The sequence below is a fragment of the Homo sapiens genome, chromosome 1, assembly GCF_000001405.40.
Source record: "Homo sapiens chromosome 1, GRCh38.p14 Primary Assembly".
Classification (NCBI taxonomy): Eukaryota; Metazoa; Chordata; class Mammalia; order Primates; family Hominidae; genus Homo; species Homo sapiens.
The window spans coordinates 171,314,092-171,342,088 of NC_000001.11; the positions used below are offsets into that span (position 1 = coordinate 171,314,092).

Genomic DNA, 27,997 nt, shown 5'->3' on the forward strand with positions numbered 1-27,997 from the left:
GAAGCGTTTATGTTCTGCCAATCCAACAGCTGTATTCTAACTCACCATTCCGCCCTCCCTTAAGATCACGGAAGTATCACGCTTGCCTCTTACACAACTTTTTTTCCTTAGTCTGTATACTTTCTGCTGTCACTAGCATAACAGAAAAGACGAATGGCTTTTGTTTTAAACTGAGGGCACTTTTACAAAAGTCATCTTTCCATTTATTTTTCTTTCAGAAAAAAGAATTTGGGTTTTGAGCTTTTTTAAAAAAAAAAGACAAACACTTTCCTTGACTTTGAGAAATAATTTAAGTCAAAGAATCTGCTCTATGCTAACCAAGGTAAGTGTCCTGGATTTTTTTTTTAATGGGGAAATGATCCAGAAACTGCTTTCACAAAAGATGAATGTTTTTCTTGGAGTGTGTTCCTTAAGAATGAATGTGATTATCTTCTTTTGGGGTCTCTTGACTAGGGCTAAAGCAAGAGAATTAAGGAGAGAGTCAGGAAGCAAAGGGAAGTTGTAAGGAAACAAAGTTATGTTGTGGACAGAACCATCCAAAAGGAAAGTGTCAGTGAGATAAACAGAATCATGAGACTTTCAGTGACTCCAGTGACCTCTGATTTCATCTTATGAATGAGATGGAAATGCCAGCCATTGGGAAACAAATACCCCATAGATGGCGTGGGAAAAAAATACTGTAACAAAGCAAGAGCATGGTAGGATGATGATAAGAAACATAAAATGATCAAATTTCAAATTCAAAGAAATCATAATTGATTACATGATTTGCAAATCACCCAAGTCTCTCCATGTCTCATAAAGGATTCCTACATTTGCTGGTCAGTCAGGTATAGGGTGGGGTTTTCCCGTTGTACAAAGGTCTAGTTCAATAGGTCAGGTCTCCTTTCTGCCAAGGGACTAAATATAAGCAACCTATGGCTGGCACGGTGGCTCACGCCTGTAATCCCAGCACTTTGGAAAGCCGAGGAGGGCAGACCACTTGAGATCAGGAGTTTGAGACCAGCCTGACCAACATGGTGAAACCCCGTCTCTACTAAAAATACAAAAATTATCCAGGCGTGGTGCCGCCTGCCTGTAGTCTCAGCTACTCAGGAGGCTGAGGCAGGAGAATCACTTGAACCCAGGAGGTGGAGGTTGCAGTGAGCCGAAATTGTGCCACTGCATTCCAGCCTGGAAGACAGAGTGAGACTCCAACTCAAATAAATAAATAAATAAATATAAGCACCTTTGAGCAACCAAGTACCTTATGAAGTCCACTTTATAGTTTGCAGAGTTTGCACACACGTTCTCCCAATCCTTCAAGCCTGCAGTATTCTCGCCTACCTTTGAATTCATATCTTTTTTTTTTTGTGCACCAATTACTTGGTTTTCAGACATAAGAACAGTCCTTTCAAGCTTGAAGGAAACAAAGAGAAAGCCACTTGAACCCTCTGTTTTACAAATGTGGAAGCACTGGCTCAGAGAAATTGAGAATTGTGTCCAGGGTTACAAGCTGCTTAGAGGCAGAAGCAGAACTAGAACTCAGATCTCTCAATTTCCAGTTCACTCACTACCTTCCTCTACTGACTCAAGGCAAAATTTAAAAAGGTTGCTCCCATTCAGAAATTTATAGTCTGTAAATACGGATTAATTTTAAAAGGTGCTAATTCCCAATTTGTTTCTACTGCCTGTAGAGTCTCTAAGTCAGTCCTTAAAGTGCTTTTGCCCAGCACGTTTTTAACCCCACAGGCCACTCTGTGTCACTAACTAGGTCTCTAGACAGGGATAATAAACAGGCCAGGAGAGTGCAAGCATTCATGCCTAGAGCATGCTGCTACCATAGGACTTAGCACAAGGTAGTATCAGCCTCTCCATATACAACATCTTAAGAGCAGTCACGGTCTTTTTTAAATTCTAAGACTTTACTACTATTTCTTAGTTGCAGGGTCTTCATTATCTTCAGGGCCCCATACTTAGCTTAGGACCTGCACTTAGAGGTACCCAGGGCATATTTGTTGAATGAATTAATTTGCTTCCAGTCTATTCACGTCAGTATATTTTTCACTTTGGCAATTCAGTTAGCAGTCATTTCTTTTTACCTTATGATTGCAGAGATAGAGCACAGCAAAGATCTGCCAGCCCCAGGCCTCTACCTAGTGGCCTGGAAATTCAAGTATTCTTATTGGTGGAGGCCATTTGTTTCTGATTAGAAGCTGTCTAAACCTCCTACTCCTCAACTCAAAGGAAAACACAGGTATGTCTGCCTACTCCTTTCCAAACTTGTTGATACATTTTATCTGTATGAACTGTCTTTTCCAAGGAGAAGAGAAGGAAGACAGGAGACAAGTAGGGAGGTAGAGAATGAACACTGAGTAAATATTTTGTGCAAGGCACTTTTTTGTGTAAGTAATATCAAGTTTTTTAAAATGCAAACAATCCTTCAACATAGATATTTTTATTATTTTACAAATAATATATCTAAGGTTGCTTCAGTCGGTTGCTCAGGGTCATATGGCTAGTTGGTAGCAGAGAAAGTTCAAACCCAACTCTGCTGCCTCCAAAATCCATTTTCATTGCATTCCATATAGCTCTCTCAACTAAATAGGGACTCCCAAATAAAAAGTCTAAGAGGAAAAATGATGCATTTTTTAATACATAATGAAGCCAGGTATGGCAATCTCAGCCTTACAAAGGCAAGGCAGCAAATACATTCAGAAATTGGCAGCCCTAGGAAATCCTTCTGATCCTCATTGCAAGTTCATGAATCTGCCTTAGGGTCAGGTAAGTCTAAGGGTTCCTGGAGGACTCAGGAGTCTTTCTTTACTCCCTCCAGTCAGTAAATTCTCTTAGATTTTGTGCCTGGGGCTTCTGATCTGATTAAGAGACAAGCTACAGAGCCATAGAGAAAAACTCCAAGCCCATCCCAAAGGTGCAGCAGCAAACCTGAGCAAAGATGAAGGAAGAGGCTTAGTGACGGGAACCACAGGATACCTCAGGCTCTCAGACCAACAGCATGTTCACATCTTGGTTTCAGATCCTGAAATCCATACTCAGTGCAAACTCTGCCTCTTAATAGCAGTGTAGTCTTAAGTTGTTTCAAATGATTATGCTGATTTCCCATTTACTGGTCCTAATAGCTCAAAAAATATATGCTCTCTTGTTTCCCCAAGGCAAATACCACTGTGATAAGTGACATGAGACTACAAAAATCACACAGGGGTTATACAGCTTGATCTTTCCTCAAAAAATGCTGTATCTTCAAAGGCAAAGTGAAATGAGTTATATATATTTCATAAAACAATGGAATACTTTGAGGTCTCAACTATCATTTGTGTGTCTTCTGAATTGGCCAAGTGGGTTGCAGGGAAATGCAGGGAAAAGCAGCACTTGCAACTAAGTCTACATGACATATTAAGGGCCTCAGTGTGACATAAACTTGATTTACTAGAATTAACTCAGCCCATTTGATTGAGGCAAAAGCAATGTGATATGTGCAGAAATGATAAAATCCAGAAAAACTGGTAAAAACTGGTCCTATATCTCCATGTGTGTGTATGTGTATACTTCCTCCAGTTCCCGCTGACAAGCATGAGCATCCCCATTTCTAGCTGACATCATCGTGGGCTCTAGAATATCCCTTATGACGTTCCTTGGGGACTTTATTTTCTATTATGGTCAGTCTTGCCTCTGCAAGCTAAGAACCTCCCCTCAACCCATGTAATATCCTTGTTTTATGGCAAGGCATGACCGTGACCAGCTATTCTTTAGGACTCTAAATGCTTTGAATCAAAACCAACATTTCTACTGACTGAAATTCCTAGGATTCAGAGGCAAAGTGATAGCAAAGAGCCCCTTTAATACTGACAAATTCTAGCATCCCAACGGGGTCAAGGTACTGTCTACACTCTCTAATAGTAATACCACAGATTGAGTACTCCTTATCCAAAATACTTGGGACCAGGCCGGGCACGGTGGCTTACGTCTGTAATCCCAGCACTTTGGGAGGCTGAGGCCAGCAGATCACTTGAGGTCAGGAGTTTGAGACCAGCCTGGCCAACATGGTGAAACCCCATGTCTACTAAAAAATACAAAAATTAGCTGGGCGTGGTGACAGGCACCTGTAATCCCAGCTACTTGGGAGGCTGAGGCATAAGAATCACTTGAACCTAGGAAGTGGAGGTTGCAGTGAGCTGAGATTGTGCCACTGCACTCCAGCCTGGGTGACAGAGCAAGACTGTCTCAAAATAATAATAATAATAATAATAATAATAGTTGGGATGAGAAATGTTTCACTAGGATGAACATGGTGGCTCACTCCTGTAATACTAGCACTTTGGGAGGCCAAGGCAGGAGGATCACCTGAGCCCAGGAGTTCAAGAACAGCCTGGGCAATATGGTGAGACCCCATTTCTATTTAAAAAAATTAAAATAAATAAAAAATAAATGTTTCACATTTCAAGTCTTTTCAGATTTTGGAATATTTTCATTTTACTTCCTGGTTGAACATCCCAAATCTAAAATCTGAAATACTCTAGTGAGCATTTCTTTTGAATTTCATGTCAGTATTCAAAAAGTTTTGGATTTTGGAGTATTTCAAATTTTGGATTTGGGGGTTTGGGCTGCTCAACCGGTAATAGCTAAATTTAGTTGAGCACTTACTATGTAGCAGGCACACTTCTAAAACCATTCCAACATTTATCAGTCATTTAATCTTCATAACAACCCTTTAAAGTCATTATTATTATTACTATTAAAACGGAAGAGTTCCCTGAGCCCCCGCAGAACTTGCTACAGGGGTGTGGCTTGTTTGCATGTTCAAACCCCTTATGGGAAGGGGAGCATGCAGACAGGCAGGTGCAGGAGCCAGGGCTAGTGCTTTTGGGCTCTGGCCCCACAGTAGGATCTAGAGGTGTCATAAAATTAATGCTCTTTTAGCAGTTGCTATTTACAGACAGCTAAGTATTACTAGTTCAGTGGAGATTCAGGTGACAGTCTTTTACACCCTGCCCTTTTGGTACCCAGGTCCTTGTCCAAAGTCCAGGAAGAATCAGGTCACATGGACTTGAAGGATGGTGAATGCGGGTATTTTATTGAGTGGTGGAGGTGGATCTCAGTGGGCTTGCTGGGGAGCTGGAAAGGGGATGGAGTGGGAAGATGATCTTCCCCTGGAGTTTGGCCATCCTGGGCCGATCTTTCCAACCATCCCCAGCTGAACTCCTCTTGATATTCAAACACTCCTTCTCTTCTCTCCTTCTCTGCCACACTGCTCTGCTCTGCCACTGGAGCTTGGGGTTTATATGGGCATGGGATAGGGCATGGTGGGCCAGAGTGGTCTTGGAAAAGGCAACATTGGGGTGCAAAAACAGGAATGCCTGTTCTCATTTAGGGCTGTAGGTTTCCAGGCTTGAGGGTGGGGCGTTTGCCAGGGAACTGCTCTCTCCTACTCAGTATTTCCTTGCCTCCTGTTAGTATCACTATTATTACCATTCACATTTTACAGGTGAGAAAACTGAGTCCTAGACAGGATAGTTAGCCCAAGATCACACAGTTAATAAGTAGTGAAGCCAAGACTTAAACCAAAACAATCTGATTTCAGAGCCTGGATTTTTAAGCAGCATGTGATTCTGCCCCCACTCAAAGATGAAAAAAAGGCATATATAGCACTACAAAAATTGAGTCTTTTGACAAGGGCTCCCTTCCAAACTTATTAAATAAAGAAGTTCTGCTTGACTTTCCTCTAACAGAGCATACCATGGCCAAGAAAGTTGCAGTGATTGGAGCTGGTGTGAGTGGCCTCTCCTCCATCAAATGCTGTGTGGATGAGGACCTGGAGCCCACCTGCTTTGAGAGAAGTGATGACATTGGGGGATTATGGAAGTTTACTGTACGTGGTTCATCTCTATCAGTCATGATCTGGCCATTTGCTTTGTCTCTGCTCAGACATGGTGGCTTTAGCCTGCCTTGGTGATCAAGTAAGGGAGTGGCTTACTGCAACGGCACAAACAAGTGCATAATGCAGTGTTAAACATTAGGCAGGATGCAGTCTGATTGGTGAGGAATCTTGAGAATGCGCAGACTCGGGTCAGGGACAGTTGGAAGAGAGAGGAAAAAAGAGTTAACTCTGATAAATAAGCATAGTATTGGACATTTATGATGATTTCTGGACCATGGACATTCTAAGACAAAGCAGCAGAGTGTAACATCAGGCAAACTGAATAGCATTGGTGAACATAAAACAGATTACACTCTAGGGAGAATGGAAGTTGGCAACAGGGAGTGGAACCACAACCCCCAGACATTGTTCAGGTCTTTAGGAACAGAACTGGCAAGAGTGAGGCATGGCCCCAGATCTTGGAAGGCCTTGTGGGAGGGGGAGGGTTCCCTGTCACATTTTCAGAATACAAAGAACTCAGGCACTAACCAATCATTCTTTGAAGTGGAATATTTAGCCTCGGAGGCTACACTCAGGTCCAGGCCACCTGTTAGGTGACTTGAGCATCAGACAGTGGGGATGGAAGTGGTTAAATACCACCTGCCTCTGGTCAGGATTGGTGCTGGTTACTGGAAGTAGCAGGGTATCCAGTAGGGACTGAGGGATCTGCCCCAGTAGTGAAGTATAAGGAGGTATCAGAAGGTTTATGCCTGTAATCCCAGCACTTTGGGAGGCTGAGGTGGGAGGATCACTTGAGGCCAGGAGCTCAAGACCAGCATGGGCGGCATAGTGAGACCCTATCTCTACAAAAAATAAAATGAAAAACAAACAAAAAAAATAAGATGGAAGCTAGGCAGGCCCAAGTACTAAATGCTATAGGGGAAAAGAAGAGTGGCATTCGTTCAACAGGCGTGAGAGAGAAGCCTTCATAGAAGACATGTTGTTTGCTATTAATAGATCTCTGATGGATGATGAATAAAACAGAATAAGCAACTACATATAAGCAGGAGTAACCATAACCCTAGGATTATAGTATACTAGGAGAAAAAAAAAATGGTATATTGTTAACCTCATCAAGCCACCAAATGTTAATGTGGAAGGAAAATATTGGGTCTGGTTTATGTAGCTTCTGCTATTTGACCCCACAGTTGGTTTGGTTTACTTCTTCTATTCTAAAGTAATACAGATTAAGTTTAGAAAACAATCTTGAGGTAAACAAATAGGGAAAAAAAAGAAAAATATAAATTAAGTAAGTAACAATACTCACAAATTAGTACTATTAACATTTCAATGTAATTTCTCTCAGTCATATATATACAGTTGTCTCTTGGTGTCCGTGGGGGTTTAGGTATCCCTTTGGTTTTGCTGTGGATACCAAAATTCACAAATGCTCAAGTTCCTAATAGAAAATGGCATAATATTTGCATGTAGCCTACACACATCCTCCTGAATATTTTAAATGTTCTCTAGATTACTTATAATGCCTAATACAATATAAATGCTATATAAATAGCTGTTACACTGTAATGTTTAGGGAATAATCACGAGGAAAGAAATATGTACACGTTCAATACATATGGAAGCATCCTTTATTTTTCCCAAATATTTTCCATCCTTGGTTGATTGAATCCATGGATCTAGAACCTACAGATACAGAGGGCCAGCTGTACTATTTTTTTTTTCAAAAATGTTATCATAATATTAATTTTCACTCATTCAACAAGTACTTATCATGTCCTTCTGCCAGGACACAATGATAAACAAGGTAGACAGGGGCTCTGCCCTCCTTGTAGTCCGGTGGGAAACAGAAACAGTAAATAGGGAATTATAACACAGTGTCATCAAGTTCGTGGTAGAAGTACAGGATGCAGCAGGGCCGCATCAGCTACCTTATGCAGCGCTGTTGGGTCATGGATGACTTCTTAGAGAAAGTGACAGCTAAGAAAGAGGCTTAAGGGAGAAACAGAGATTAGCTTCAGCCACAAGAAGTTCATTGGTGTCTTTAATATAGACCTATTTGTTTTGTTGTTTTGTTTTTGAGTGATGGAGATTGAATCAAGATAAGTTGAGGACTTCATGAAAAAACAGAGGCTGCAGTAAATGATTCTTCTATGAAGATTGAGATAGGATGGAGAGAGACAGGGCTGAAGGGGACATAGGTTGAGAGGATGTTTTGTTTTGTTTTTAAAATTAGAGTATTTTGTGCTGATGAGAAGGAGCCAATAAAGGAAGGTAGATTGGGAATATACGGAGACAATAATGAGAAAAATTAGTAAGGTATTCCCTGAGGAAAGGCAAAAAGGAACATGTCCAGGGCATGAGTGGAGGGAGTAGCCATGCCAATGAAAGAAGGAAAAGATAAACAAGACAGATAATAAGCCCTGCATTCATGGAATTGTTTAAGGACAATGTTAGTCTTGGAGAGCCCTATTTAATTTGGTTAGCTTCTTTGTGGTTTGAAAAATATATTGATTTTAATTATACAATCCCACCAATGATTTCTGATAATTATAGCTTAGAGACCTAATGCTGGGTTTCCTGGAACTCTTTAAAATTACAAATAGTGGCTGGGTGCAGTGGCTCATGCCTGTAATCCAGGCACTTTAAGAGGCCAAGGCGGGTGGATCACTTGACGCCAGGAGTTAGACACCAGCCTGGCCAACATGGTGAAATCCCATCTCTACTAAAAATAAAAAAATTAGCCAGGCATGGTGGCACACACATGTAATCCAAACTATTTGGGAGGCTGAGGCATGAGAATCGCTTGAACCCGGGAGGCAGAGTTTGCAGTGAGTCAAAATCGCACCACTGCACTCTAGCCTGGGTGATAGAGTGAGACTCCATCTAAATCAATCAATCAATAAAAGTAAATAAAATTACAAATGGAACATTAATTGCTATAACCCGCCCTCAGTGAGGCTAGCATGAGCCACCATGATCTCTGTTCTCTTCCTCCTATCTCCATTATCCCAACAAGCTAACTATGCCTTCACCACAGGAATCTTCCAAAGATGGGATGACCAGGGTCTATAAGTCATTAGTGACAAATGTCTGTAAGGAAATGTCATGTTACAGTGACTTCCCTTTCCACGAAGATTATCCTAATTTCATGAACCATGAAAAATTTTGGGACTATCTCCAAGAATTTGCTGAGCACTTTGACCTCCTGAAATACATTCAGTTTAAGGTAAGATACTTTGGGTTATGGAAGATGAATAGATGGGGGCTGGCCTATTCAGCAATCTAATGAAAATTGGATGTTTAAAGTAAACTTTTTATTGATTTTATCTCCAAATAAATAGGAAGATAATAAGGACTCCTCACTTCCGCTGCTGCTCAAGTTTTACTCGAATAAATCGTTAAAATACTGAATTGGGGACGGGTGCAGTGGCTCACACCTGTAATCGCAATACTTTGGAAGGCCGAGGCAGGCAGATCACTTGAGGTCAGGAGTTTGAGACCAGTATGGCCAACATGGTGAAATTCCACCTTTACTAAAAATACAAAAATTAGCTGGGTGTGGTGGTGCACACCTGTGATTCCAGCTTCTCAGGAGGCTGAAGCATGAGAATTGCTTGAACCTGGGAGGCAGAGGTTGCAGTGAGCCAAGATCATGCCACTGCACTCTAGCCTGGGCCACAGAGTGAGACTCCATCTCAAAAATAAAATAAAATGCTGAATTTGCTGATTCCTCCTCTAAATGCCAAACTCTCATTCAGGATGAAATTTTGACTTTTTTTAAGAGAGAAAAAAAGAATTTTGTCCATGAAGCCCATTGGGGAAAAAAAATCTAGATGTCTGAACCACAGAAATTACAATAAGGCAAAACTAATTTTCCTAAATTTCCCAAAACATTGGGCATTGTAACTCATCTCTTTCTCACCAGGAATAAAACGTGATTGTTTCTTCCTTCCACTGAAAGATTCAAATGTCTTGAGTTAAAGTCTATATTGCCACCTTTGTGAGTTTGCATAAGTTACTTAACTTCTCTAGGAAGATGATAAATCAATATTAATAGACCTCCTGTCATGGGACTTGGCCTACTAAAAGTAACAGACATGGTTACCACACCAGTCATTGCATGAGGTCCAAGGGTGTTAGTGAGAAGTGAGTGTTTGTCTTTCACTTTTAGACCACTGTGTGCAGCATAACGAAGCGTCCAGACTTCTCCGAAACTGGTCAGTGGGATGTTGTCACAGAGACAGAGGGCAAGCAAAATAGAGCTGTCTTTGATGCTGTTATGGTTTGCACTGGACATTTCCTGAATCCCCATTTACCTTTGGAAGCCTTTCCTGGTGAGTCATTTCTACCTGAGACCATGCCTATGCTTCTGGGTTCTTCTAGAAGTAAACTTATTGATTTGCAGTTGGAAATACCGCCCCATGATTATAGATGGCTTTATATTCATTCTCAAAAATAATATGTGCAAAATTACTTTAAAAGTTGTATAACGCACTATGTAGGTGTCAGGTCTTATTTATTTATTAATATAAATATTATTGTTATTGCTTAAGCTTTCTAATGTGTGTCTAATTCAAATTCAGTGATCACATAAGGTTCAAAACAATCAGATCTGTCATGAAAAAGAACAGGCTTTGATTTTAGGGATTAAATTACAGGTAATTTGAATCAGGACTGGCCTGTAATAGAACTTACAGGAAGTGAGAGTATATGATTTTTTTTTAAAGAAACAAACCAGAAATTAAACATGTAAAGCAATATATTCAACCTTCTCTAGAGTTGGAGGTTCTTGGACAAATAAAACTTTAAAAGGGAAAAAAAAGCAATATAGTCACCCTTCAAAACAGTCAACATAATAATCATACAATTCTTTGGCTGGGCATAGCGGTTCATACCTGTAATCCCAGTACTTTGGGAGGCCGAGGGAGGCCAGAAGTAGGAGACCAGCCTGGGCATCATGCTGAAACCCTGTCTTTACTAAAAATACAAAAATTATCTGGGCATGATGGCTCATGCCTGTAATCCCAGCTACTCAGCAGGCTGAGGCACAAGAATTGCTTGAACCTGGGGGAGTGGCGGTTGCAGTGAGCAAAGATCACGTCACTGAACTTCAGCCGGGGCCACAGAGTGAGACTCTGTCTCAAAAATAAATGAACAAATAAATAAATAATCATACAACTCTTAAACCAGGGCTATCCATAGAAAGGAGTTTTAGAAACTTCCATTTGGAAATGCTTTTCACTGTGACAACATATTCTTTTTAATATACTCATGACTGACAAATTGCCATCATTTTGAGGTCAAAACTGATTATTTGAGAAGCCAAAAGCTATTCAAATTCAGTTGAGGGAAATAAAATTAATCAATTGAGGATTACTAAAATGTAATAAAGCTACTCTTTTGTTACATATTAGTGGCCCTAAAGGCAATTGAATAGGTGAGTTTTTGAAGTATCTTCAAGGAATTAAAAGAACTTTTAAGGAAGGAAAACCTTGAAGAATAAAACATGCAAACGTTGGCAAAATGAAGGAAAATACTTCTTATAAATGTAATCACAAATTGACAAAATATCCTACTCAAAAAGGAATGAAGTGAAAATTCAATACATAATTTTGCAAGGAAACAATATTATAAATGGTGGTTGGCTTCAGGCTTGCTGTTGATCTGGGGGCTAAACACACAACTGTACAGTACTAAAGGAATATAAAAACACCTCTTATGACATTTTCTATAGGAAAATGTGCTGTAAGTGCCAAACTATTGACATGGATGCTTTCGGAATTTATTCTCTTCAAGTTTGGGATTGTTTACCCTTTATTCCACACTAAATTCAGTTCCACATAGACTATCCTTTTTTTTTTTTTTTTTTTTTTTTTTTTTTTTTTTTTTTTTTTTTTTTGAGACAGGGTCTCACTCTGTTGCCTGAGCTGGAGTGCAGTGGTGCCATCTAGGCTCACTGCAGCCTCAACCTCCTGGGCTGAAGCAATCTTCCTGCCTCAGCCTCCAGAATAGTTGGGACTACAGGTGTGTGTCACCACACCTGGCTCATTTTTGTATTTTTTGCAGAGACGGTGACTTGCCATGTTGCCCAGTCTGGTTTCAAACTCCTGGGCTCAAGGGATCCACCTGCTTTGGCCTTCCAAATACTGAGATTACAGAACTATGACTTTTTAAGATTCTGTTTCTGCTTTTAACTAACCACCACAATATCTTTCACGAATAGCTGTAGGACCCCTGTTGAAATGAATGTTTTACTTGGGAACATGAACTCTTCTCTGCATAGAAAGTACCAGGATTATTTCTACACTATTGAAAAAAATCCATAGAAATCACAAGCTTTGTCTATAACATGTCGCCACAACTGTTTGAAAGTTGACATTGCAACACATGCATACCCTTTTTAAAAATCTATATTGTCAACCTAATGGAAGAAGCTGAGGCATAAAATGTGATTTCAAAGAATTTACTTGAGTCAAAATACAATTTTAAAGAGTTACCTTGAGGATAGCTGCTTGGGAAACATTTCCAAGTTGCTTTGGGAAGTGCTCTGTTCAGCCTTTGTTACAAGCAGGTTTCTGAAGGGAACAGGGAACAAGGAGTGCACAGATACAAAGTTGTTTGACAGGAACTCTCATTAATTTATAGAAATAGCATTGATTAGTCATTGGCTGTACATTGTTTAACTATAGGCTATGAGTTATGACATCCAGCATATAGCATTGTCAGGGTAATTTATGGCTACTTAATGTCAGTAAGTCTAGAGCCCAAATAGCAAGTGTCTTCAAGAGGCAATTATTTAACTTATCATGGAGAGTGACATGTGACTGCTGTTAGATTTCAATGCCTCTCTGGGCGTGATAACTTAAAGGGGACTTGCATTCCTCAGATAAAGTTTCTTTTCTTTCCAATATAAATTGACTTCTGCTGTTTTCCTGAATTAGTAGTTTTAATTTATCAAATATATTTCTTTTTTACTTTTTGGCACTGCATTGACATAATCATTGACTCAGAACTATCTACACATTCTCTATTTTTTCTTCTTCAATATGTAATTACGGAGAATCTGTCATTTGCAAGTCATTGTGTGAGGCAATATGAAAGATATAAAATCCATGAGCAAAGTTGAGCCCTCCAGTAAATTCCCTCCAGGAAAACCTCATAAGTGGCTGAAAGTCCCACTCTCTAATGCGTTTGATGCATATTCTGTTCCCACTTCTTGGAAACTTCTTCGTGCTCCCCTTTTCCAATTTCTAATCATCCTTTAACAAATTCTTAATTTAAGAAAATCCCCTTCAAATGCCTTCACTGGCTCAGTCCAGGCTGGACGTCCCATTGGACCCATCTTAATGCCTTCTCTTCTGGGAGGGAGTATAGTATCATGCCTGACAGCTGAGCTCCAGAGTCAGACATCTTGAGTTCCCATACAGGCTCTGCTACTTACTGTATGGTTCTGGGCAAGTTGCTTAACCTCCCTGTTTTGTTTGTTTGGTTGGTTGGTTTTTGTTTTTTTGCACTGCAATCTCAGCAGTGCAAAACAAAAACAAACAGGGAGGTTAAGCCATTTGCCCAGGGATTTTTTTTTTGTCTCAATCTCAGCTTTGACAAAATTGAATAATACTATGGTCCACTCTATGGGGGTGCTGTGAGGTTTAAATTCGTTAATACAGACAAGGTGTGGTGGCTCATGCCTATAATCCCAGCACTTTGGGAGGCCGAGGCAGGCAGATCTTTTAAACTCAAGAGTTCGAGAACAGCCTGGGCAATATGGTGAAACCCTGTCTCTACTAAAAATACAAAAAATTAGCCAGGCATGGTGGCATGTACATGTAGTCCCAGCTACTCGGGCGGCTGAGGCGGGAGGATCACTTGAGCCTGGGAGGCAGTTACAGTGAGCTCTGATGGTGCCACTGCACTCCAGCCTGGGTAACAGAGCTAAATTCTTTCTCAGTAAATAAGTAAATTTGTTAATATGTATAAAGTTCTTAGAAGCCTGGGACTAGCATAGCAAGGGCTAAATAATTGTTAGCTATTTTCTGTTTACTTACTTACATCCCCATTAGAGGACAAAGTCTTTATTTATTTATTTATTTTGAGACAGAGTTTTGCTCTTGTTCCCCAGGCTGGAGTTCGATGGCATGATCTCAGCTTGCTGCGACCTCCACCTCCCAGGTTCAAGCAATTCTCCTGTCTCAGCCTCCTGAGTAGCTGGGATTACAGGTGCCCACCACCACACCCAGATAATTTTTTTGTATTTTTAATAGAGATGAGGTTTCGCCATGTTGGCCAGGCTGGTCTCGAACTCCTGACCTCAGGCAATCCACCCACCTTGGCCTCCTAAAGTGCTGGAATTACAGGTGTGAGCCACCGCACCCAGCCAAGAGGACAAATTCTTTGAGGATATGGGTCGGGCGCGGTGGCTCACACCTATAATCCCAGCACTTTGGGAGGCTGACGCGGGCAGATCACTTGAGGCCAGGAGTTTGAGACCAGCCTGGACAACATGCGAAACACTGTCTCTGCTAAAAATACAAAAATTATCCGGGCATGGTGGCACGCACCTGTAATCCCAGCTACTCAGGAGGCTGAGGCAGGAGAATTACTTGAACCTGGGAGGCGGAGGTTGCAGTGAGCCAAGATCACGCCATTGCACTCCAGCCTGGGTGACAGAGCAAGACCCTGTCTCAAAAAAAAAAAAAAAGTTCTTTGAGGGTGGGAACTGCCTTTTGTCCTCACATTCCTTAGACCTTAGACCTAGCATAGTACCTTGGGTGGTGTTGAAAGTGTTGAAAGAACAGGCTATATAAGATACGACTATTAGCCAACTTTTTCCTTTAGTATCCCTGCAGACTTGATCTGTGGGGCTTGTCCTTCCGTTGCCCCTGGATGAAATCTCAGGCAGTTTTCTGCTTATTCTCAGATAATGAAATGTCCTCTGATCATTATAAGTCACCCAAAAACAAAAAAAAATCTCATTTTCATAACTAAAATGTCCTGTTCAGGCAATAGTCAAAATGTGCAACTGTATGTAATGTAAAAGCTTCTCCCTCCACCGTCTGGCACCTGCTATGAGCTGACAGCAGTGTCAAGAAGAGACAGTGTGCTTGACTTCCTTCTTCCTCTGCCATCCTCTCCCTCCGAACCCTAAACCTACCAGCTGCAGTTTCTGACCTTTGCAGAATTGGAGTTGGGGAAAGGTCAAGAGGGAAGAGAGAAGAAAAGTTCTTTCTGAACTGGCCCCAATCCTGGGCTAGTTTTCTCTGATCTCGGGGGTGTTTAAAATTGGCTTTGTCAGGTGGTGTCCCAGGTTCTGATTCAGAGAGACGCTTTGTTACTGGGGATGTCTCAACTGTAGCTTCTGTTACAGATTATATGCTCTCAGGCTGGCTACCTACAACTCTCTAACCCCCAGTTCTCCCCAGGTCATCGCCACACAGACTATCTGTTAGGGCCTCATCGTGTGTTCAAATTGCCACCTTGGGCAAAGTTCCCTTACGCTGGTGTCAGACTGGCTCTCTTCCACAGGGCCTTCTGGTCCACATGAAATATAGATCTTGTATTGTCAACAGTGGGAGAAATGCTGCCAGTGCAGCCACCATCCCTCGAAGGCAGTCCCAGTCACGGCCTTACAAGCACCAGTTGCTGTGCTCTGTAGACCCCAAACATGAAGGTCTCGCTCAGAGTGGTCTCCTTGAAGCCCCTCACACCTGGCTCCATGTCAACATGACAGAAAAAAATGCCACAATTCCTGTCAATTTCCAACTCCTAGCCACTTCAACCTCAACCATTTTAGACTGTCAAAGTGAGTGTGAGGCTAAGTCAGAATCACAAAACTGGCCTCACACACACAGTTTCTGCAAATTCAGCATAGTTGGTTTAGCACCTCACTTGGACTGCGGGAACTATTGTTTACTGTCCAGCTTTGGGGGCCTCAGTAGGCAAAGAATCCTGTTAAAACATTTTGTTATACAATCTACTTCTTGCCCAGGATGTTCAGCGTAGTGTATAAGATGTTTCTTATTATTTGTGAGTTTGATTTCCTGAAGCAACTGCTTTAAAAAAGAACACTGATATGCACTATAAGATCTCTTATGTTTTTAACAAGGCAGGTTGTAGCTATTCAATAAATGTTACCAAGTGAATGAATGAATCAATGACTGAATAGGAGGAAAATAATATATTCTAGAAGAGAATTTAATCTTTGTATATTGACACTTCAAAGGAACTTGAAGCCTTGGAGTGAGAGGCAGTCTAGTCCTCAAAACTGCTGGGCTTCTCTTTCAGATTCTTTGTCAATGCTTCATCTCATCTGTGATTCTGGCCATCACTGGCCTCATCACAATTGTTTCCTCTGTCACCTCCCACAATTTCCATTGTTGCTGCTGCTGCTGTAAACACCCTGTTTCCACTATTCTTACCATTCTTAGTTTATGTGAATCCATGGTTCATGTCTATTCTCATGCTGCTAATAAAGACACACCCAAGACTGGGTAATTCATAAAGGAAAGAAGTTTAATTGACTCCCAGTTCCACATGGCTCAGGAGGCCTCACAATCTTGGCAGAAGCGAAGGAAGAGCAAAGTCACGTCTTACAGGGTGGCAGGCAAGAGAGAGAGCATGCCCAGGGGAACTCCCATTCCTAAAACCATCATATCTCGTGAGACTTATTCACTATCAGGAGAACAGCATGGGAAAGACCTGCCCCCATGATTCAGTTACCTCCCACTGGGTCCCTCCCATGACACGTGAGAATTAGAGGAGCTACAATTCAAGATTTGGGTGGGGACACAGCCAAACCACATCAGTCTTTTATGTCTGCCAAGGAGATAATCACCAAAAATGAATCAAAAGAAGAAATATTTGTAGTCTTCCTTACATATGTAAATATCATTATAGCTGTGCTTCTATGGACAGAGTATTAGGAGCTTCATGAAAGATCAATCAGAAACAAGAGTAAATAACATAAGAATAAAACACAAATAAGCATACTGCATAATAACACATCAATAATAAAGCATAAAGTACAAGTAACATGAACTTAAATCACTAGAATAATTACTTCATTTACGAAAGAACTTACCACAGAATCTCCCCTGTGGAGAATTTTAATTGAATCAAAATTTAATATGTAAACATATTATATATACAAATCACATTCTGATAGAATATATCTATTGGGCAAAGTAACATGCATCAACAACCTACTGTTTTTATTTGTTTGTTCAAGATCTTTATTCAGTATCCAAAAGAAGATGTCAAGTAGGTATTTAGATACAAGTGTAATGGTCCTGGGAGAAGCCACAGTTGGATATAATACTTAATGTAGATGAACTAGAAACAATCTACTTTTTGCCCAGGATATTCAGCATAGTATATAAGATGTCTCATTATTTGTGAGTTTGATTTCCTGAAGCAACTGCTTTAAAAGGGCACATTCATATGGAATTCAAGATTTCCTATGTTTTTAACAAGGCAGTTTGTACTAAATCCACATCTGGGCTCACAGCATCCCAGGGAGAGGGAGGTTATATGCTTTTTCTACTTCCTGCCACAAGCAGCATAAGCAAAGGACTGCCATAGTTGTGGGACTTCCCTTTTTCCACAGACCCTATCCCTGCGTAGTGAGAAATTATAACTTTAGACATTTCAGACTTTCTGATCCTTCACTCCTCTCAGGAATTCATAAGTTTAAAGGTCAGATCCTGCATAGTCAAGAGTACAAGATCCCAGAAGGCTTTCAGGGCAAACGCGTCTTGGTGATTGGTCTTGGGAACACTGGAGGAGACATTGCTGTGGAACTCAGTCGAACGGCAGCTCAGGTACATCATCTCTGAATTAATGCCCCTAATCCCATCATCAGTTATGATGGCTGGAAAGAGATATTCAAAACTATGAAGTACATTGGCCAATTGCTAAATTATGCAGACACACAGTAAGTGGGAAAAAAAAAAAACATTGAAAATCTTTAAAGCCACTCACGGTTCTTTCTGAACTATTTAAAAAGCCATGCTTTACAGAACTGAACTATCTCCAAGAAGGGTCTAGGAAAATTGTGTGGATGCCAGACCTCTAAGCATTTTTCAGGAGTGCTTCCTTCAGAAACAAGACCATATAGGCAAATTGCTTCACCCAGTTCAATTATCTTTTTTTTACACCCTCCCTTTGTCATTCTGGTAAAATCCCTATGTAAGAATAGAAAGGTCATTTTCTTGAATGTTTCTAAGTTCTCTACTAAAGGTGATATCTGTACCTTGTTTTGAGATGAAAGCAACTCTTGCACAACAAGTATACATAATGGTTTTAGAAAGTCTAAGCCCAGATTCACAAATTAGAAATCTATTGCACTTTAGCATAAATTAAAGGAAAATGATTAGATCTGGAAAGAATATATTTTTATTTAAAAATAAGGTAAAATTGCTTTTCCATACCTTCACTTTAAGTTCTATTTTGCTTACATGTAAAAAATTGCCAGATCAATTCCATGTATCTACAAATATTATACTTCTATATTTATAATTCTATAAACATAGTAAAATATTTAAGAGACATACAGATCTAGTAAAGTGATTTTGAGAACAATGACAGCAATAGGAACAGATAATCGTATGTAGACCTATGTACAAATTCACCAATCCTCTGTTGTTAAAAGACCAGACTGGAATAAGATCATTTGAAACACACTGATGAAAAATACTACAAAATGATGAACATTTATTTATCCTTCTTGCCTTACTTTACTTTTTAGGTACTTCTCAGTACTAGAACTGGTACCTGGGTTCTTGGGCGCTCTTCAGATTGGGGCTATCCTTATAATATGATGGTTACAAGAAGATGCTGTAGTTTTATTGCACAAGTTCTGCCTTCACGTTTTCTAAACTGGATTCAAGAAAGGAAGTTGAATAAGAGATTTAATCATGAGGATTATGGATTAAGTATTACCAAAGGGTACTTACATTTTTTATTTAGTAGAAAAAATATTAAATCAATATTTATCATTACATTTTATTCAGAATTCAAAATGTTCAATAATTGTAATATTGCCTTTGTTTATTCTACTCTAAATCCATTTCCCTAAAACACTGTTCATCAGGTACCACAGCAGTTTTTAAAATATATGTATTCTCTTTCTGGTGGCAAAAGTAGTGATTCATGAGGCTGGAAGAAAATAAAAGATGAAAACTTCCATTTCCTGCTGTTACAAATATCACATATTTTTGTTGTTGTTGTTGTTGTTGTTGGGGTTTTTTTGTGTTGTTGATGTTGTTTTTGTTCTTGTTGAGACAGGGTTTTACTCCTGTCACCCAGGCTGGAGTTCAATGGTCCGATTTCTATTCACTGCAATCTCTGCCTCCTGGGCTCAAGCTATTCTTCTGCCTTACCCTCCCAAGTAGCTAGGACTACAGGCACAGGCCACCTCGCCCAGCTAATTTTTGTATTTTTAGTAGAGACAGTGTTTCACCATGTTGGCCAGGCTGGTTTTGAACTCCTGGTCTCAAGTGATCTACCTGCCTCGGCCTCCCAAAGTGCTGGGATTATAGGAATGAGCCACTCCACTCAGCCAAAATGATATATTTTAATATACATCTGTATAGAGTTGCACATTGGCAAGTAAAAGAAAGCCTTTGAAAAGCACGTAAGGTCATTAAATATGATTTTTATTATACACTTGACCCAAATATTTTTCTTTGGTAAGATATCTTTTTTTGTTTTGTTTCTTTTTTTGTCTGTGTTTTTATCCTTGAGATGTCCTTCAACTTATGAGGAAAACTACTGGCAAAGGATGATTTGATATGTAAATTTTACAAAGAAAATATGTTTGATGTGATTAGGTAGAATGATGGTCACACTGAAAATATGTATCAGTATAAATTTTTTTTAATGGAGTCTCACTCTGTTGCCCAAGCTGGAGTGCAGTGGGTGTGATCTTGGCTCACTGCCACCTCTGCCCTCCCCGGGCTCAAGTGATTCTCCTGCCTCAGCCTCCCAGATAGGTGGGACTACAGGTGCAGGCCACCATGCCCAGCTAATTTTTTGTATTAAATTTTTATTTAAAGAGTTCCTTGCTAATTTCCTGTCTGCCTGATGTCATTCCCTAGAGGCCTAAGTAATTTGAGACCCAAAATTGATCATCAAATGGATTGTTGTACCCTCTATGCTGACACTCTGAGAAAAGCATTGCTCCAGAAATTAGTTCTAAGAGATAGAGAGTTTTAAACCCCAAGCAAGAAAGAGTAGGTTTAGTCATTTTCCATATACCTTCTACTGAGAACAGAAACACAAAACCATGTTATAAACATACTAAGTCAAGTAGATGACTTTGAATTAGACATTGGTTAATTCTCTTCCTTAGCTTGGCAGGTAATTTCCCTGAATTGGCTAAGTAAATCATTTGCTGAAGTTTCTCATAAAAATAACTACAGTGAATAATTTTCTCCTGTGTGTCAAAGGAAAAAAGCAAAATTCATTGTGAATGATGAGCTGCCAAACTGTATCCTCTGTGGGGCAATCACTATGAAAACCAGCGTGATTGAATTTACAGAAACCTCTGCTGTCTTTGAAGATGGGACAGTGGAAGAAAACATTGATGTTGTGATCTTCACTACAGGATATACATTTTCTTTTCCATTTTTTGAAGAACCTCTTAAAAGCCTCTGTACAAAGAAGATATTTCTATACAAGCAAGTCTTTCCCTTAAACCTAGAGAGAGCGACATTAGCCATCATCGGCCTTATCGGCCTTAAAGGATCCATCTTATCAGGCACAGAGCTCCAAGCACGATGGGTCACAAGAGTATTCAAAGGTACCATGACTCTACTGAAAGTCCTCTCTTTGGATCGTAAAATTGGTGCCCTGCCATTTAGCTAAAATCAAACAGATGTGAACTAAAGTAACAAAATATTTTTAACATTAGTGTACAATTAATTGTATATGTTTGTAATATGAGGGTGTGCTGTGTCACTTAATGTGACTGAATAGGAAAAGAGATTTTGGCTCTGTGGATGAGATAAATTTGGACAACAGAATATAATCAAATTTGTCAGGTTAGCTGAAATTATTGAAGGCTTCATGATCCTGTTCTAGCCTAGTCTAATCTATCTACTCCTAAATCTTTTCATTTAGTACTAGAAGTATAATTTTATATTGCTTCCAAAGAAAGATATTGGAATAATATACACTATGAATGAAGTTGAGATTAGAGACCCATAAAAAATATTTTAGACACTGGAAACTACTTTCTGTCAATTATGCAATAAGAGCATAGATACTGGAGTCAGAGCTACGGAGGTCCAATCCCAACTTCAAAATTCTTTAGCTTTGCAAGAACCCCTCTAAATCTCAGCCCCTTCATCTGTAAAATGGGGATAATAAATCCCGTATGACAAGAATTTTGTAAAAAGGATAATGTCTGCAAAGCAATTAGCACAGTACTTGACATATAACTAACGCGTATTAAGTGACAGGGTTTCTCTGACCATTGCTATTGCTATCATACCTCTCTAAAGCAGGGCAAATTTTAGATTAGCAAGCATTTTAGTTTTAAAGAACTGCAGTTTTCTGTTTTTAAATATAAACAGCCATAGCAATTGGGCCCATCAGCTATGCTGTAGAAAAATTCTGTTCTTAATGAATAAAAACAATTACCAATAACTTATAAATAGCATACAACATGGTATTAAATAGTGTTGACTTCTATCAAACTGTAGAAATATAATAGGCATCAATCACACTTAAAACCGTACGTTCTCCTAAGTTGGCACAAAAAAAAATGTTATTTGAATGGGGGGAGGGGAAAGAAGGCAGTTAGAAAATCTCATTTTATTTACATTACAGAAAAAAATCCTACAACCCTGCAGTAAATTACCACAAATTTCTGTTTTTTAAGGTCAGTTAAAGAGCTTTCACAGCATTATCCAATTACATTAAAACCACAGAAGACTTAATTAACTACTGGTTTTAAAAAGTATTTTATGGTGAGCTCCAAAATGGTTATTAGAATGATAAAGCTGACAAAACAAAACTCTTTTAGCTCACACCATAGGAGTAATGGCATGCTTCTCCTGAGAACTTCCAAAAAGCAATCTAGGAACAACCAATTAAATCTTGCTAGTTTTTTAGAGGATAAGGTGACCCTAGTGGAAAGCAGTCCACAGAGCTTAGTTGGACCTATCTCGTGTGGAAAGTAAACACACACCCTGGGCCAGCACTTGGTACCTGACAAAGGCAGGACTGGCCAGAATGGGATGGCAAACAGGGCAGACTAACAAGGGTCACAAGTGGCCTGAGGTGGATAGGGACAGTGAAGGGGCAGGGGGTGGGGACAGAGTTTACATTATAAGAGGGAGTATGGGTGTTCTAGGAACCCAGAAGACAAACTTGGATTTTAGTCTCTGGGGAAGCTGGACAACTGCAGAGAATTATCAGGGTGCAAGCTGTTAAGGGAGAATAAGGTTTAGAATTCAGAAAAACAAGAAGAGCAGAGTCCAAGTGCTAAGACTGTCTAGATGGGAGATTGGGAATGAGCAGGTCCTCACAACAAAAGCAGACAGAGCCTGGGTGAGACTGACTGCGAAACTGCCAGGCCCCTTCCACACATGAGGCTCCTTGTGTAACAAAAATGAAAATGTTCTAAGACAGGGTTATAAAGTGGGTTTTTTTTAGAGACCAGTCCTCACTCCATTGCCCAGGCTGGAGTGCAGTGGCGTGATCATGGCTCACTGCAGCCTCCATCTCCTGGGCTCAAGGGATTCTCCCACCTCAGCCTCCTGAGTAGCTGGAACTATAAGCCCATGCCACCACACCTGGCTAAATTTTTATTTTTTGTAGAAAGAATATCTTGCTATGTTGCCAGGCTGGTCTTGAACTCTTGGACTTAAGCTGTCCTCCTACCTTGCCCTCCCAACGTGCTGGGGTTATAGGCATGAGCCACTATGACCAGCCTAAAATGGGGTCATTTTAAGTGTTTACATCTAACCAACTAATAGCTTTAACACAAACATGCACACACACACACACACACACACACGTACAATGTGGAGGGTATACATACAATATAATATAAATTATATTATTTATACAGCAAAAGCAGATGAAGAGAGACAGGGCAGGCCAACTGGCACAGGTGCAGGTGTCTGGTGAGTGTGGCGCAGGCTGACAGCTGGGCCATAGAGGCATCTCTCCTCACAATTCTGGCAGTAGAGTACCCTGGTTAAGTGAACTGGGCGGGGAATTTTACCTCCAGAAAATTATTTTCTGTGCTGCATTTCCATTCTGAGCTTTGACTATCATGTGCTCTGAAGTTAGAGCAGTGGGAGGCTAGAAATGAGTGGGTGGAGAATTTAAATAAAGGAAAAGCCACATGTGACTTTAGTGTTGTTTGTGATTTTTCCCACAGGACTCTGTAAGATACCTCCATCCCAAAAATTGATGATGGAGGCTACTGAAAAGGAACAGCTCATTAAAAGGTATGAAATGTAGCTTGCTCTAGGGCAAACTTACAGTATATTCTGTTACAAAAAAAGGATTCAGAGTATAAAAGCCATTCCTAGAGAAGCAGTATGGCAGGTTGGAAATAACTCTGCATTAGGAATCAGAAGGATACATTTTTAGTCCTAACTCTGCCACCAATCAGACGTGGCCTTAGACAAGTCATCTGGGGACACCAGGTCTTTTCAGTGGAACACACAGCCTGGCCCCCTACCAGTGGCAATCCTGTCTTCACTTAGTCCAGGAAATCTATTCTGACTTCACTCTCTTCCTACCTCTCAGGCTGCTCTTTCTCTGTATTTGCTGGTATCGCCTCTTCCTCACTCCCAAAATTTAGTGAGCTCCAAACTTAGTCCTCAGGCCTCTTCTCATTCCTATTTACACCCACTCCCAGGTGGCCTCATCCAGGCCTGTGGCTTTAAATATCATCATATACTCAGGGCTCCCAAACTGTGTCTCTGACTCAAATCTTTCTCCAGAACTTCAGACTCCTAATTCCCCTCCCTCTAGATAGCTCCACTTAGATATTTAATAGGCGTCTCAAATTTAATATGTCTAAAAATGAACTCTTGACCCCCTCCGCCCCCCATCTGCCCTGTAAATGGGCTGATCTGAAACTTTTCCCCATCTCAGTTCATAGCTACTCATTCCAGTTGGTCAAAACCAAGTTCAGTCAAAAACCTTGGATTAATCCTTTTCTCTTCTTTTTTTCTCACATCCCATATCGGCAAATATTGTCAGCTCCTACCTACCAAATAAATCCAGAATTCAGACACTTCTCACTGCCCCTACTGCTACCATCCCAGACCAGACCACCAACATCTCTCATCAGGACACTTGCTGCCACCTCTTACCTGGTCTCCCTCCTTCCACTCTGTTCTACAATCTAGGCTTGTCACAGCATCAAGAGTGAGCCACATCACATTGCCCTTCTACTCAAAAACCTCCAGTTGCTTCCTTTTCACTCCCAGGAGGCTCCCTACAGCCTCTGTGGCCCACAGCACACCCAAATATTGATATGCCCTCACTGCCTACTGCTCTCCATCTCATCCATGCTGCTTTAGGCATTCCAGCCTCCTACCTGTTCCTCAAACATACCAAACATAACCCCCTCAGAACCTTTACGCTCTACTCTTCTGTCAGCCTGGAATGTTCCATCAGACACCTAAAAGACTCACTCTGTTCAAATGTCACTTAATAAGAGAGAAGCCTTCTCTGACAACACTATATGTGACAGCAACCCACCCTGACTCACCATTGCCTCTCCCCTTACCCTCCTTTCTATTTCTCAGAGTGCCCATTATTACCACCTGATATATTACATATCTACTTAGTTGAGGTTTTTTAATAATGTATTCATTTCCCCCATTAAAATACAGGCTTTTTGACAGCAAGGACTTTGTTTTGTTCACTATTGGATCTCCAGCACCTACAATGGTGCCTGGAATGTGATAGACACTTAATGTTCATTTATTTATTTACTCACTGAATGAATGAATGATTGACATTGGGACATCATGAAAGTTTACTGACAGAAATAAGTAAACTTCATGAAAAGTAGAACATCGTGGAAGTTTACTGACAGGAATAAGTAAATAAGTAAGTTTACTGACAGAAATAGGTATGAATAATGCCTTCATATTAATATATAATATGCTCATATCTGTGGAAAGTTCAGTCCACGTACACCAAGTATGGCCTTCTCAACTCACAATTCACACCAATAAAAAAATTTAGGTACATATGATGCTTTCTGGTCATGTTCATTCATTCAACAGCTGTTCTATTTGGACTGATCAGACGTTGTTCTCACATCAAATCCAAGAACTGAAAACATTATTTAAAGTTTCTCTCGAGTTTTTAAGAACCTACAACTATTTATGGAGAAAAAGCAGCCCAAGGATGATCTTTTTGATAGACTCAATACTGGTATTCTGAATAAGCATCTCCAGGATCTCATGGAGAGCTTGACAGCCAAGGTATTCCATACATACAATGCCTCCATCACGCTACAGCAGCAGCTAGAAGAACTCACAGCCCCGGATGAGAACATCCCAGCGAAGATCCTTTCTTATAACCGTGCCAATCGAGCTGTTGCAATTCTTTGTAACCATCAGAGGGCACCACCAAAAACTTTTGAGAAGTCTATGATGAACTTGCAAACTAAGATTGATGCCAAGAAGGAACAGCTAGCAGATGCCCGGAGAAACCTGAAAAGTGCTAAGGCTGATGCCAAGGTCATGAAAGATGCAAAGATGAAGAAGGTAGTAGAGTCAAAGAAGAAGGCTGTTCAGAGACTGGAGGAACAGTTGATGAAGCTGGAAGTTCAAGCCACAGACCGAGAGGAAAATAAACAGATGGCCTTGGGAACCTCCAAACTCAATTATCTGGATGCTAGGATCACTGTGCCTTGGTGCAAGAAGTGGGGTGTCCCAATTGAGAAGATTTACAACAAAACCCAGCGAGAAAAGTTTGCCTGGGCCATTGAAATCGCTGATGAAGACTACGAGTTTTAGCCAGTCTCAAGAGGCAGGGTTCTGTGAAAAGGAACAGTGTGGTTTGGGAAAGATGGATAAACTGAGCCTCGCTTGCCCTCGTGCCTGGGTGAGAGAGGCAGCAAGTCTTAACAAACCAACATCTTTGCAAAAAGCTAAACCTGGAGATATTATAAGGGACAGCTGAGCCAGTTGTCCTACGGACAACTTATTTAAAAATATTTCAGCTATCAAAATTCTAGCTGTATGATTTGTTTTGAATTTTGTTTTTATTTTCCAGAGGGCAAGTGGATGGGAATTTGTCAGCGTTCTACCAGGCAAATTCACTGTTTCACTGAAATGTTTGGATTCTCTTAGCTACTGTATGCAAAGTCCGATTATGTTGGTGTGTTTTTACAGTTAGGGTTTTGCAATAACTTCTATATTTTAATAGAAATAAATTCCTAAACTCCCTCCCCTCTCCCCCATTTCAGGAATTTAAAATTAAGTAGAACAAAAAACCCAGTGCGCCTGTTAGAGTCGTCACTGTCTATTGTCATAGGGATCAATTTTCATTAAACTTGAAGCAGTCGTCGCTTTGGCAGTGTTTTGGTTCAGACACCTGTTCACAGAAAAGCATGATGGGAAAATATTTCCTGACTTGAGTGTTCCTTTTTAGATGTGAATTTTTATTTCTTTTTAATTATTTTAAAATATTTAAACCTTTTTCTTGATCTTAAAGATCATGTAGATTGGGGTTGGGGAGGGATGAAGGGCGAGTGAGTCTAAGGATAATGAAATAATCAGTGACTGAAACCATTTTCCCATCATCCTTTGTTCTGAGCATTCGCTGTACACTTTAAGATATCCATCTTTTTCTTTTTAGCCCTGATCTTTCACTTGAAAGATTTTATTGTATAAAAAGTTCCACAGGTCAATAAATTTAGAGGAAAATGAGTATTTGGTCCAAAAAAATTAAAAATAATTAAGATTTTAGGGCTTTTATTTTTTCTTTTGTAATTGTGTAAAAAATGGAAAAAAACATAAAAAGCAGAACTTTAATGTGAAGACTTTTTTGCTATAATCATTAGTTTTAGAGGCATTGTTAGTTTAGTGTGTGTGCAGAGTCCATTTCCCACATCTTTCCTCAAGTATCTTCTATTTTTATCATGAATTCCCTTTTAATCAACTGTAGGTTATTTAAAATAAATTCCTACAACTTAACGGAAAAAAAAAAGTTTCTCTTCCATCTCTAGTAAAATTAATTGCCTCCTTTTACCATCTCTAGTAAAATTAATTAGCTTCACAGATACCCTCTGTAGATAAACTCCTTTAATTTCTTTCTTCCTAACATACAAAAACATTCCCAAATATGGTTTGATTTCCCCCAAAAAATGTAACAAAATGGTGGGAGGATGGGTGGGTCTGATAACTTGAGAAATGCAGGGCAGGTGTGATTAATGAAAGGTCCTCCCTCTTTTTTCCTCTCAGGGGAGTGTTTAAAGACACCAGCAAAGACAAATTTGACTACATTGCCTACATGGATGATATCGCTGCCTGCATAGGCACAAAGCCCAGCATCCCACTTCTGTTCCTCAAGGATCCCAGACTAGCTTGGGAAGTTTTCTTTGGACCATGTACTCCTTATCAGTACCGCCTCATGGGCCCTGGAAAATGGGATGGAGCCAGAAATGCCATCCTGACCCAGTGGGACAGAACATTGAAACCTTTAAAAACTCGAATTGTCCCTGATTCCTCCAAGCCTGCCTCCATGTCACATTATTTAAAAGCCTGGGGGGCACCTGTCCTACTTGCCTCTCTTCTACTTATCTGTAAATCTTCACTTTTCTTGAAATTGGTGAGAGATAAACTACAGGACAGAATGTCCCCTTACCTAGTAAGTCTTTGGCGAGGATGAACCTGATTGTTACAAGGGTTACACAAAGTCATGCTAATTCTATCTCCAAGTATCTTGTGCATCCCTCCTCTGCTCTCCATCATAACTGCTATTAGCCAAATTCAGGCCCAGTCATCTCCTATCTGAATTATTGTATTATCTTCTTCTTTGTTTTCAGTACCCTCTTTCTTGCCACCCTTTCCAATGCATCTTCTACCCTGCTACCTCAGTGATTATTCTAAAATAAATATATATGATATGGTTTAGCTG

General features: G+C 40.2%; 1 protein-coding gene and 1 pseudogene across 11 annotated transcripts; both read left to right on the forward strand.

The window, feature by feature from the left end:
* The first annotated feature begins 91 nt into the window (after positions 1-91).
* Positions 92-27,993, forward strand: FMO4 (flavin containing dimethylaniline monoxygenase 4). 10 transcript variants are annotated; one of them, NM_002022.3, is made up of 10 exons: positions 92-322; positions 2,095-2,236; positions 5,727-5,866; positions 8,913-9,101; positions 10,047-10,209; positions 17,549-17,691; positions 18,618-18,817; positions 20,320-20,672; positions 23,265-23,334; positions 27,322-27,993. In NM_002022.3, the coding sequence occupies exons 3-10, from the start codon at positions 5,735-5,737 to the stop codon at positions 27,746-27,748; spliced, it is 1,677 nt and encodes a 558-aa protein (NP_002013.1). In that variant the 5' UTR covers positions 92-322; positions 2,095-2,236; positions 5,727-5,734; the 3' UTR covers positions 27,749-27,993. The 10 variants fall into 10 exon arrangements, with proteins under 10 accessions (NP_002013.1, XP_011507649.1, XP_005245103.1 ...); XM_011509347.3 differs by lacking the exon at positions 27,322-27,993 and adding an exon at positions 25,135-26,422; XM_005245046.4 differs by lacking the exon at positions 8,913-9,101.
* On the forward strand, positions 24,805-27,235 carry TOP1P1 (DNA topoisomerase I pseudogene 1; annotated as a pseudogene). The gene has a single exon (NR_002719.2). The product of NR_002719.2 is annotated as a DNA topoisomerase I pseudogene 1 (transcript).
* Positions 27,994-27,997: the final 4 nt, after the last annotated feature.

Excerpts from the sequence above, each read along its gene's own strand:
- FMO4 (NM_002022.3), top strand. The coding sequence starts at position 5,735 with ATGGCCAAGAAAGTTGCAGTGATTGGAGCTGGTGTGAGTGGCCTCTCC. Across the intron at positions 9,102-10,046 it reads TGAAATACATTCAGTTTAAG|ACCACTGTGTGCAGCATAAC; the intron begins GTAAGATACTTT and ends TTTCACTTTTAG. Across the intron at positions 20,673-23,264 it reads GGTCACAAGAGTATTCAAAG|GACTCTGTAAGATACCTCCA; the intron begins GTACCATGACTC and ends TTTTTCCCACAG.